General features: G+C 34.5%; 1 protein-coding gene across 2 annotated transcripts in view, besides 1 other annotated feature; it reads right to left on the minus strand.

Annotated features, from left to right (window-relative positions):
- The window catches only part of SEMA3A (semaphorin 3A), a 536,949-nt gene that overhangs the window by 315,760 nt on the left and 207,433 nt on the right, over positions 1-13,756 (minus strand). The gene's annotated exons all lie outside the window — the stretch shown is intronic.
- Positions 5,954-6,554: an enhancer, noted in NCBI's record as "OCT4-NANOG-H3K27ac hESC enhancer chr7:83906806-83907406 (GRCh37/hg19 assembly coordinates)". NCBI's record gives its function as "activates a minimal SCP1, AML or CMV promoter by ChIP-STARR-seq in primed H9 embryonic stem cells {active_cell/tissue: H9 hESC(primed)}" and the evidence as "EXISTENCE:reporter gene assay evidence [ECO:0000049][PMID:30033119]".

A 13,756-nucleotide genomic window follows, 5' to 3' on the forward strand; every position in this document is an offset into this window, starting at 1 on the left:
AAATGAAATTATCAGCCTTATAGAGCCATGTTATCTGGTTTCTGACAACTGTTATAAACCCGTTGTATCAAGTGTCTAGGTAATTCTGACACTTGAGGAGAATACTAACAAGACAATCCTAAGCAATCTTACATAAGCCACCAACTCTCTTTTATGTTGCAACCATGACTCCCTTTTTAAACTTAGCAACCAAAGATGCAAGATGAGGCAATGGAGTGGGCACAGATCTGTCAGCACTTTTCAAAGGTCATGCTCCACTGAAATCTAGTCAGAAAAGTCATCCTCAGAAATTCCAGAAAGCACAGTATCAACCATGTAAATATAACAATTCTAATAAAAAGCTTCACCTAGTTCAATCTTTGTCTTTGATATAAAATAATACTTTATACTTCATAGGATTTCTCTCAATTACTAAATGCAAGCACTGAGTCTGTTTACTTGCCACCGTCTGTTTTTCTCACCATGCTATAAGCTCCTTATAGCAGATACTATGTGTGTACTGCTGATAGATATACTCAGAGTGTCTAGCGCCTTGCCTGGCACAGCTTGCATACTTGATGTAATCAATGGAAAAAATAACTAAAATGAAATATGAGCTTTATAAAAGTAATATCATAGATTATATCAATAGGGTCATTATAATTAATTGCAGGAAAAGATTGAAAAACAAAGAAAATTTAGAATCTATGAAAAAAGAGCAAGATATATTGGGAACTGGGGTAATTTCATGTGCACCTGCTGCTGATTTTGTAGACTTTGGAATGTGTTTCAGTGACAATCAAGGACATAAAACCTTCAGATGCTTGCCTCTCTAATAGGTTATTAACCCAATAATTATTTATTTATTGTTACATAATGGACTATTCATATCCATTCTGATCAATAATTAATACCAGATTTAACTGAGTATTAATAGCAATGAAGTAATAGAAAAAAATTTGTTTTTCTATTCAAATATATTAAATGATTATGGCCAAAGGAACCTAGTTCTGAGGAACTAGGCAACAAAATAAGATTATATTGGTAATAGCATCTAGGACCTTCTTAAATACTATTTTATTCCACCAATTCTATTGGCTCTATTTTATTCTTCAAGCTTTTATTGATTGTAAATGAGACTAGATTACAAAGTCCAGTGCAAAAAGAGATTTTCCCACACTTCCACCAAGTTAACATTAGTATAGGCAGGTCAGGTTACGCCATTATCTCTGAGCATCTGGAAAACTGTACTATTTGGTCCCTAGGCATCGCCAAGCAAATCTTTAGGGACTTTTCTATTTTTCCAGCTCAGCTTTTTTCCACCTTAAGAAATAAATAATAATCATGAGTTGAAATGTAAACGCAATTATTTACAATGGTATATTTTATCATCCTAATAGCAACAATGATAATTTCCTACATTATACTTTTGAGAATATATCTATCTTCTTTTAAAAATCTGCATCTTGCTTAAAATAAATATAGATTTGTGCATGCCAACCTTTATCAAATCAGAGGTTTAATACTCAGGAATGTTTCAATATTATTTGTCAGGTTCCTACTAAAGCAGGTCTTTTGCTGATACATTAATGTAAGCATGAAAATAACACTGCTCTTTCAGATGTAGAGGAATGCCCAAATAACTAAGCAATGAAAATACAAATTTATCTAAAATATTTTGAAAAAATTGTACTATACTATCTTTGATATTCTTTAAACTTAGGTATTCACCTCAAGGCCAACCACATGCTAGGAATAGAAATATATCAGCAACATTCCTCTAGCCCCGAATTTCCATAATGTTTTCTGTGGGACACTAGTCTCCTAGAATATTAATAGATTGTATTCAAACTAAAAGTTCTTTAGTTTAAGAAGCATAATTAATGATGGAATAAACAAATGTAAACAACTAGACTAGCTACTGCCAGGAAATCTAAGACATTTTAGCGCATGAATGCATAAAGTGAATTTTACTTAGGACAGTAATAGAGCACACACGTTTTCCTACGTTTACCTGAATGTCGCACATTTTCCCCAAAGCATATTAGAAAAGCTAGTGTTCCAAGGAACAAACTTTGAGAAATGTCCCACCCAAACCATCGTTATATGAAAAATACTAACATCTGTTGTAGGCAGCATTGAGGGTGCTGAGGGAGCAATTGCATGGTGATTAGACATTCTGTAGTTTAATATATATACATGCAATGTAAACTTCTGACATTCCTTGTCAAATGCTTGCTATATTTTTGTAGGCTCTTTGTCCTGCTCTATTTTTTTCTTTACTATTAGAGTCATGTATAACAAACAATCCTACGTTTCTTTTATTTCCATATTACAGGGTTATTTAATTGCTGATTCAGTATATCCCTCTTCAAATGATTTGTCTGTCTCATTATGGGTCATTCAAATTTCATAGTGCATTCTCCAAAATTTGTTAATCTTATTCTTTTCAGTTTAAATAAAAAATAAAATTATATTTATATGGAATGGAAAAGTACATCTATATAAGCTTTATTTTCTTGACATAGAATTTTGGAGTTTCAAAATATTTTCAGAAATTACATAAGAATCCATTTATTTAGAGTTTGGCCCATTTTTAACCATTTAAAATTTATCTTTTGCTGTTTCTGCTTAAACATAAAATTTCTATTTCCAGCATACATGTAACTTGTCCCAGGTGAACCGAAAGTGCATGATCCACTTTGTGGTTTGCAAAGGGGCCTCTAAGGTCTCACAGGCCACTCTAACTTGACTTGGTGAAGTTGCTGCCTCCTGTTCTTCTGCCTTTCCTTTGGTCAGTAAACAATCCACCGTGCAGGAAAGGCCCCTGAAATTCCTAACAATTATTTCTCCCTCTTCCCACAATTAAGGGAGTAGAGAGAAGAAAGAGAGTAGAGAAAAGTACACAGCCCTGCTTAGACTGTCACTTTGCATCAGTCTGAGAGGGAACACATTCCCAGGCTGAAAGGGGTTGCCCGGAACAATTAAGCATGGGCTAAGAGTGAAACTGGGAAACATTCCAGCTTCTCAGAAGTCAAGTCTTCATTGTGTGATCTTCAAAATAACAGAAAATAAATAAATATATCTCTACTAGAATGCATGTTCATTCATTCTAAAATTATGTAAATGTACTCTACTGTACTTATAAATTATATGTATTATAAAATACCCCAAAGATACGTTTTTTGTGCATGTGATAAGCAGGGTGATCAAAAGATTTATTTTCCAAACAGGGCTGGCCTTCTTTTGAAAGCAAAAGGAGGTGTTTTAATACTTATATTGAGACAACTGAAAGCAATTGGAACTCCCTAGGCAAACCTGGACATAAAAGTGCCTAGCACAGATTAAATTTAAAATATTAAAAATATTTTACTAATTATAATGGCTTTATATTATCATTAGATTATATCTGTAGGTATGATCCTTACTTGGAGCCAAGTCCACCATGAACTATAGGGGTGTTAATCCACATTTCCAGTAGATATTTTGATAATTTTACTACAAGTTTCACTCTGCCACTTAATAAGTCTGATCATACTATTATTATTTTTTACATATAATTCAGACTGAGAATGACTTTCTGTAAGGATTGAAAGGGTTAGCTCTGCATTTGTTTTCTTACATATTTGCAAAAATATTTTATAGCCTCCATTTTGTGAGAGTTAGTTTAATCAATGCTAGGAAATATAATAATGACATCCATACATCCACTTACCAGACATAGATAAGAGATGATATATACTCTCTCACTTTTGTGGAACTTTAAGTCTTACCTCAGGCTACCAGATATTAATGACATGAGACAATCTGATATTTGGACCAAATAAAAGCATCAATGTCAATACAATATCAAATATTTGTAAACTCTAATTCACTTTGTACTTTTAAGACAAAATTAATATACTTTATTGTTCTAATCCAATCTTCTTGAAGATGAATAGCATTTATATTGTGTACCACCTGGGATGCACACACCTGACATTACAGCTGAGTCACCTGGACCTGTGCTTCTCTGATATGTACACATAGTCACCTGGAGAACTTGAGAAAATACAGATCTATTTTTGTTGATCTAGGGTGCAGCCAGGATTCTGCATTCCTAGAAAGTTCTCAGGGGTTGCTGGTCTAGGGATCACATTTTGAGTACCAAGAATCCTAGCCCTGTGCTCTTTAATATAATAACCATTAGCCACATGTGCCTACTGAACATTTGAAATGTTGCTAGTCTAAGTTGAGAATTACTGTAAATGTAAAATGCATACCAAATTTCAAAGACTTAGGGCAAAAAAGGAATGTAAAATATTTCATTAATAATTGTAATTTTTGATTACATGTTGAAATAATTTTATTTTTATGATATATAAATGTTTAGTGTGGCATATAGATACATTAATTTAAATATGACTCCTAGAAATTTAAAATTATTTACATGGCTCATATTACATTTTTATCGGACGTTGCTGCTTAAAATTACAAAATATTGTCCTGCTCATGTAAAGTGGTAGTGAAATAACTCACTATGTGCCTCAATTGATCTTCTCAGACTTGTCTTTTTCCACTCTCTGTCCCATGCCCTAAGTTCCAGCTATATGTTACTTGATATTTACCCAACATCTATTCTTTAATTCTTTCGTTTATTCAATAAATATTTATTGAGTGCCTATACTGAACCAGGCAAAACTAGTAGGCACTGTATGCACTGGGGTATAACACTGAAAAAAGATGAACATGAACAAAGTCTCATTGAACATACGAGCTCTAATTCTTCTCATTTCATAAAAGGAAAAATTCCTTTTAACCCTTATGTCTCTTTTTCTTGAAGTCACTCACTGGCTCCTTAATCTGTACTTCTATAGTGTTTTGTCTGTTTCATAAAAAACATTGCCTTATAATTGATATATATATAGCATATGTTTTTCTTCAAATAGGTTGTTAATTAAGTCTTTGATGGCATTATTTAATTACATCTTTCATTCTAGTACAATTTCCAGCACATAGTAGGTACTTAATAAACCAATTTTTGAATGGATTATTTAACAAATAAGATGGTACAATTTTAAAACAATTTAATTTCAAATAGCACTGATTATTTTAATTTGATTTCCATTTGACATGGTTCATTCCAGCCCTTCTTTTGTTATTACAAATATTTTATACAGTAATATACTATCAAGCTCAGCTGGTTTAAAATCAATTTAACACAATTTGATCTATGCCTGCCTAGTGCTCTTATTATACTTTAAGCATTTCATTTATTCTTTCTGAACACTGATCTCATTAACAAAATGGATTTTTAATTCCTGCTACATGTTTTGTTGCAAAGATTGAAAGATTCAATTTATGAAATTGTTCCTAGATCATGGCAGTCCCTCAATAAATACGAAACTTAAATAGTTCAGACTTAGTCATTTTATTTCCTTTTTATTAACTAAATGTAAAATAATGTTTTGTGGGTAAAGCATTAGGCCACTTATGAATTCCAAGTCAAATTTATGGCTTTACATGTACCTAAATGTGCTGCTTTGCCAAGTAGTTTCATTTCCCTCTATATCAATTATTTTACATGTAAGATAAGATTGGACAAAATGGCATCCCTCTCATGTCTACAGTTGTATGAGTCTTTGAAGATGATGATGAAGTCTTTTTTGAAAATCAGCAATAACAAAGGCCTTTTAATCTTTTCCTTCCCTCCTTTCTTTTTCTTTCCAGTTGCAAATATTATTAGGCATGCATGAGTGATAGCAGGTTAAAATTGGGAGTATTGGTATGAAATCATGGTTTAATATATAGATATAGATGTAATGATAGATATAGATAGAGACGTAAAGTTGTGTGGGTGTGTGTGTGAATACAAATACTTCCTAGTTCTGTCCACCTAAAGGGCCCGTGAATAGCAAAATCCACAAAATAATGAGCACATTCACTACTGAACTTTTGGTTGCTACATACTTTCGACGGAAAGAAATCAGTGCTTCTTAAAAAATGGGGTGTGACTGAGAAGAACCTGAAATATTGTGTTGTGCCAGATAGTAATGAAATACTCAAAGAATGATGTTGTGTTAGTCCATTCTTGCATTGCTATAAAGAAATACCTGAGACAGGGCAATTTATAAAGAAAAGAGGTTTAATTGGCTCATGGTTCTACAGGCTGTCCAGGAAGCAGAACGCAGACATCTGCTTCAGGGGGGGCCTCAGGAAACTTACAATTATGTAAGCAGGGCAATCGGGTCCTAGGCCTGGCTCACAAAAGCATTCTTTCCTTCTAGGCTTCAAGACCTCTGATGAGACTGGCTGCTGCACAGGTCTCTGAAATGCCTTGGAGGCCTTTTTTCCATTGTCTTGGATGTTAGTATTTGGCTTCCTTTTTGTTATGCAAATTGCTCTAGCAAGTGGTAGCTACACAGCCTGCATGAATTCCTCTCCCCTAAAAGCTTTTTCTTTCTCTGCCAAATGGTCAGGCTGCAAATTCTTCAAATTTTTATACTCTGCTTCTTTTATAAATATAAGTTTCAACTTAAAGTCATTTATTTCCTCCTGCATATGAGTATTGGTTGTTAGGAGCAGCCAAGTGACATCCTAAGTACTTTGTGGCTTAGAAATTTCTTCCAACAGATATCCTAAATAATCAGTCTCAAGTTCAAAGTTCCACAGGTCCCTAGGGCAGGGGTACAATACAGCCAAGTTTTTTGCTGAAGCATAACAAAAGTGACCTTTGCTCCAGCTCTCAATAAGTTTCTCATTTCTGTCTGAGACCTCCTCAGCCTAGACTTCACTCTTCATATCACTATCAGCATCTGGGTTACAACAATTTATTGAGTCTCTTAGAAGTTCCAAACTTTCCCTTCTCTTCCCTGTCTTCTTCTGAACCCTCTACCCTCTTTCAACCTCTGCCTGTTATCCAATTCCAAAGCTGCTTTCACATTTTCAGGTATCTTTAAAGCAACACTCCATTCCTTGGTACCAATTTTCTGTATTAGACCTTTCTTATTGCTATAAAGAAATATCTGATGTGGGTAATTTATAAAGAAAAGATGTTTAATTGGCTCATGGTTCTGCAGGCTGTACAAGAAGCATAGAGATATCTGCTCAGCTTCTGGGGAGGTCTCAGGAAACTTACAATCATGGTGGAGAGCAAAGGAAGGGCAGGCAGAGCACATGGTGAAAACAGGATAAAATGAGAATGTTGAGGAGGCGCCTCACTTTTAAACAATCAGATCTTATGAAAAACTTGCTATCATGAGCACAACAACAAAGGGATGGTGCCAAACCATTCATGAGAAATCCATCCCCAGTATACAATCACCTCACACCAAACATCACCATCATCATTGGGGATTACATTTCAACATGAGATTTGGGTGGGACACATATCCAAACCATATCACATGTCAAAATGACTAAGGATCTAGCATAAGGGACTTCCACTGATCAAATCTGAGATGATAATAGTAATTATTATAATACTCTAAATAAAATAGGTGTTCTTTTACTTAGAATGCCAACTAATAAATGCATTAAAATGAATGTGAAAATAACAATTTGAAAATCATCATAGTCACAGTTAGGCAAAATTATCAACTGTTTATAAAATAAATGGATATAATGTGATTAAGAATGGGATATGTATTTAGTTTCAAAGTATCTCTCTTCAAAGTACTTACTGATTGCAAAGGAAAAAAGAAATGTAACTTTCTAGTGGAGAAACCTGGCAGTGACCAGGTTACTTGGTCACTTAAGATAACTTGATTAAGATAACCTAATATCACCAAAAATGGAACACATCAATACTATATACTAACTAATAGGATGTAATAAGAAGGACATAGCATCACTCTTGTACTTTCCTACCCAAAATGCATAAAGTAGATACAACCTTGGAGAAATACTGGAAAATTCCACATTGAGGAACATTCTACAAAATCAATACCCTATAATCTTAAAAAAAATGTCAAGATTGTAGAAGTTAAGGAAAGACTAAGGAAATGCTCTTATTGAAGGACATGAGAGAGACATGGCTACTGATTTCAAGTGACCATCCTGGATTGGATTCAGTTGGAGTAATTGCCTGGGACAATGGGCAAAATTGAATTTGGGGCAAAGGTTATGTGGGAGTTCGTTTTACTACTGCAATTTTTCAATAAGTTTGAATGCTTTCCAAATAAAATTAATTTTCATAAGAAGACATAAATAAAGCCAACAAAAGGTTTTCTAATATGAAATAGTAGACTATATGTGAAAACTTCTTGAAGTTAGTCAAATACCTAATAGTTGGAAGCCAGTGTATTCACTAGGAATGTGTGATATTGGCTGGATCCATGGTCTCCATTGTTACATTTTTCTGTCTCTTGACCAGTAATGACATATTCATATATTTTTATTTTTACGTATTTATTTATTTTTGACCTAAGGTCTCACTCTGTTGCTCAGGCTAGAGTGCAGTGGTGTGACCACATCTCACTGCAGCTTCGAACTCCAGGGCTTATGTGATCCACCCACCTCAGCTTCCTGAGTATCTGGGACCAAAGGCACATGCCACCATGTCTGGCTGATTTTTGTATTTTTTTGGAGAGAGGAGGTTTCATATGTTGCCTTGGCTTGTCTCAAACTCCTGGGCTCAAGCGATCCTCCACCCTGGCCTTCCAAAGTCCTGGGATTACAGATGTGAGACACTGCACCAAGCCTCTTATTTTGAATAAAAGTTATTTCAGTCATAGTTCGGCCTCCCGGTCAATTTAGATGTTACTCTTTCTATATGTCCACAGCATGCTTTATATGCCTTTATTAGCACAAATCACAGTGTCTCCTAAGCTAAACTATAAGATCTGTGATGGCAGGAAGCTTGTTGTAAAAGACCACTGTACCACGGCAATTTATTTCAGAATTAAAGTTACACCATGCTCATATTGTGAATTATGTATCATTTATCAATATGTAAGAAATCCTTTGTTCCATTACATCTCTTTATTCTTTAAAATGTCTGTATAGTGGCCGGGCATGGTGGCTCATGCCTGAAATCCCAGCACTTTCGGAGGTAGAGGTGGGCATGTCACCTAAGTTCAGGAGTTCAAGACCAGCCTGGCCAACATGGTGAAACCACACCTCTACTAAAAATACAAAAATTAGCTGGGCATAGTGGTGCACACCTGTAATCCTAGGTACAGGGGAGGCTGAGGCAGAATTCCTTGAACCCGGGAGGCGGAGGTTGTAGTGACTTGAGATCGCCACTGCACTCCAGCCTGGGTGACAAAGTGAGACTCGGTGTCAAAAAATAAATAAATAAATAAATAGGCTGTATAGAAATAATAATATAAAAATTGCATTGGCATTTTTCACAATAGCAAATTTTAAGCATTTGATCTTTCACATAGTATATCATTGAATTTAGTTGTATTTATTTATTTTTGCCCTAAATGACAGAATGAATCTTTTAATATGGAATGTTCCCACTTACTGTTATAAACGATATACTTCTTTGCCCTTTTCTTTAATGCCATGGCTCCTTGCCACCTCCTTTACTTTTGTTATATGGATTATGTATAATTTCATTTTGAATTCACTGGTATGTTAGAAACTGGATGCCACATTTAGATCTGCCAGCCATTGCTCCTGAATTTTGAAAAGCAGTTTTAAAGCCATTAGTATTTTTTTCTAGTTGTGAGTGAAGGTTCATCTCTAGGATAACCCATTTCTGATAGAAGATTCGGCCTCCTTACTCCTCAGTTACTATCATAATGAGGGTTGGATTGAGGAGGCTGGGAGCAGAATAGAGATCATCCATAGAGGAGGTCTGTGGTGCTGAAAGGAAAGGCCAGCCTTATGATAACCACTTGAAGACAAGAAACAGCAGCCTGGGGATACTGCCCACATGAGCCATGGTAGATTCAAGGACTTACATGGAAACTGGGTGGAAGTTAATCAACATGTGGAGTTAGTGTGTTGACAATCATGTGAGCATCACCCAGGGATTATACTTGGATAGGATTAGATAGAGATGACCCAGACTACTTTCCACAAAAAAAGGGATAAGCAGTTTAGTTAATGATAGCCTGGGTTTCTTTTATTAAAACTGTATTTTTCTCAGTTTATTCCAATTTGAAATCATTATCAATTTCTTATAGATTTTGATATTAGATAGTATAGTGTGGTGTTCAAAAGAACAGACTCTGTAGCTACATTCAGTAGGTTCAAATTCCATCTCTGTTGCTCATTAACTGTGCAATCTTGAGTGTTTTACTTAGCTTTCTTATCTCAATGTCTACAGCTATAAAATGGGGGAAAATGTGGATAGGCATAAAATATTTTAAAAGAGAAACTGAGTCAATATTTATGGCAATACTTGGTTGGCATAGCTAGAATTCAACAAATATTCATCATTACTAAAGTGTGTTTTGATAGTGCTGAGATGTTTTCTTTTTCTTCTGTATCTTCATGGATATCTAGAAGAACACAGAAATTGCCATTTATCTGCTACCCAGAAGCCACACTGAAATGGAATTTCTTGATTGTCCATTTTAAATGATATTTTCTATAATATTCAGAATCACCTGAGCCCTTAACTGCACCAACGTTGCACTGACAAAGATGATGTATATAGAAATTCCACCATCTGTGCATATGTCACAACATCATCCTTTTTGGAACCAATCCGCCACTATTAATTAGCTCCACAGTAAATTCATGATTTTTAGTCACTGCTGGATCCTCAAAGCTGGTTTACAGTTAAAAAAAACATTATTCCTAGCTTCCTAGTTGACTCTTTTTTGCATTTCCTTTTGTGGCTGCTATAAAATAATTTCATTCTCCTTGACCTTGCCAATTATTTATTCAACTTCCAGAACAGCTAACCTCCAAAAGCTTTGTAAATAAATCCATTTTTTATGTTAGCAATTAAATTAATATGTATTCTAAGCATCCTCATATTTTTTAGCAACATCATAATTTATTAAAATGTTATTATCTTTACTGTTTCCCCCATTTATTAACAAACATAATTGTCTTTCCTATCCTAAAACATCTTCTATTTGTGAAGTTTGTAAGCTTCTCTCATTCTAACAACCTTCTCTAAGTCAGTAGATAACGTTAAGCCAGTGATTTCTAAAGAAAAAATATTTTCATTTCTGTATAGTATCTATTAATAGCTGTGCTCTCTCTCACACTTTCTCCAAGAAAACCCCACCAAAACTAAACAAAAACTTCCATGATAAAATAAATTTTGGGGCCGGGTGCAGTGGCTCATGCCTGTAATCCCAGCACTTTGGGAGGCCAAGGTGGGCGGATGACTTGAGGTCAGGAATTTGAAACCAGCGTGGCCAACATTGTGAAATCCAGTCTCTACTAAAAATAAAAAAATTAGCCAGGTGTGTTGGCGGGCACCTGTAATCCAGGCTACTTGGGAGGCTGAGGCAGGAGAATCGCTTGAACCTGGAAGGTGGAGGTTGCAGCGAACAGAGATCACACCACTGCACTCTAGCCTGGGCAATAGAGTAAGACTCCATCTAAAAAAAAAGCATTTTTTTTTAAGTAATGAATAAAATTATGTAAATTTTATTTACAGAAAAATAAGCATTTTAACAGGTTAATATAAGTTGTTAATCTTTAAGAATTGTGTGTGTGTGTGTTTGGGGTTTAAAGGTTACGAACAGTAAGAGGAAGCTTGGCTTCCAGACTTACTGGAACACTTAAATCTTCTCAGCACACCCAACATCATACCATTCTAGAAGCAGTATACCGATGAACACATACTAACCATTTCCCGAATGCATGGAAAGCAGATACATCAATACACGCGTGTGTTAAACTATGGGTTGGAACTTCTAAAGTAATGTATCAAGTCAAATCTCATCAAACCTGCACTCATTTTTCTCCTCAATATTTCTGTTCAACTATTACTGTTAATGTTACACATCATTAGGCTTAAAATCCAAGAAAAACACTCAAATTTATATTTGATTCTTTTCCAGTGCTCTCATTTACTAAGTGAAACATAAAGAGGACCAAAAAGTAGATATATTTTACTGAAGAATGTATAGAAGTTGGCAACTGATTGCATGTGGCAAAAAAAAAAGAGGATATTAACAAAAATGGCATAATAGAAACAAAGTATCAAACTAGCTGCTTATTAGATATATATGCAGGGTTTTTTCCACATAATTCACATAGTAAAAGTGTTGTTAAACATAATAATAAATAAAATAATAAGAGACTTGGAATTTACTAGTTTAAAAGTAAATGCTATATATGCCACTGATTCACTGATCTTAGTTTAATTTTGCATATGGAAACATAACTTCTTAAATTCCAGTTACAAAGATTGTCAGAATTTTAAAAATGCCACTTTCTTTCATTGTGTAAACATACCTTGCATTTTTTAGGAATAAAATAAATTAAATTTATTCCTTAAATTTTTTTCCTGGATACTGGACAATCAATTATTTAAGATTTACGTGCTTTGGATGTGTTGGTTCCAGAATTGCTGACAATGCTAGATTGGAGAGGCAATAAATGCTAAGTCGCATACAAAAGATTTGAATGAAGCTGTTATGGTTATCAACATCATGTCTGAAAATGACCTTTTTGATTTGTTTTTAAATTTAGATAGTTGTATGATACAAGGAAATGAGATGACTAATTTATATTTAATTTTATATTTAAAGGAAATTTGAGCATTTACATTCTCTTTTAAAGTAAATGCTATGTGTATCTGTCTCTGAGCAGGTCTTTGCTTCAAACTTTTGGCTGACACTAGTTGGTAAAAACAGCAAAGGGACTACCTACTAAAGGAATGTTCAATCTAGTTCTCCTGACAGTCAAAGGATTCGATTATCATTTTCTAAGTATCACATTCTTTTTGTTCAATCACTATGATTCAGGAACAATCTTCAAAGTTGACTTTGAAATACTGAAACAAAGACAAAATAGGAAACACAGCCCTAAATCTGTCCTAGTTAACAGTATTACCATCATCAGAATCTCCTCCCCGAATTTTGGGATGAGATCAGACAAGGCTAGGGAGATGGCCAAATGTAGAATGGTAAAATGCTTTGTCTCCTAGAACTCATCAAAATGAAAAGAAAACTTGACCTTCAGTTTCAGTGTCCCTTTCTGTAAAGAGTATTAGCACTTTAAATAGCATACTGAATTCCAGTTAGGAATTGTGTCTTATGAACTGAATGATTTTTCTTTTCAAAGGTATTGATAACAAGGGTCATGAAGGAGGAGAATGTGCTTATTTTTTCAACTCACTGTCAAATCTCTTCCCCATTTTCTAGATTATGTTCCTTTTTTTGATTGATGGACCTATTATATTTCTGGGAATAAAAGCCAAACACACACATCATACAGAGGTTTGCTTTAGGCACACAAATTCAAGTTCTGTTTAACACAGTGGGGTCACCAAACATCTAGTAAGGCCTTTGCCAATGTTTGTGTTTTCTTGCAATTAGATGAAAATCAAAGCCATGTGGACACCAACAGGGAAAACAGCAGGTCTCAATGTGTGTTTGGCAGTGCACGTTCTCCACTTCTCTTGTACTCTTTTATTTTTTTTGACAATGTAACCAAAGATTTATTTTATTTTATTATTTGTGTTGTGGTGGTGGTCTTAAACATTTTTCTCCCATTTTACTTATATTGCTTATCTACAATTCCCAGGTGGCTTCAGAAAAGAAAATCAAACTTCTCTCTGTAATAAGTCTACTTCCCTTACTGTTTAAATACAGAAGACAATATAGCAGGTGCCTAAAAAACTGTGGGAAGACATTAAACAAAAGGCAAATAT

Source organism: Homo sapiens, chromosome 7 (assembly GCF_000001405.40).
Source record: "Homo sapiens chromosome 7, GRCh38.p14 Primary Assembly".
Classification (NCBI taxonomy): domain Eukaryota; kingdom Metazoa; phylum Chordata; class Mammalia; order Primates; family Hominidae; genus Homo; species Homo sapiens.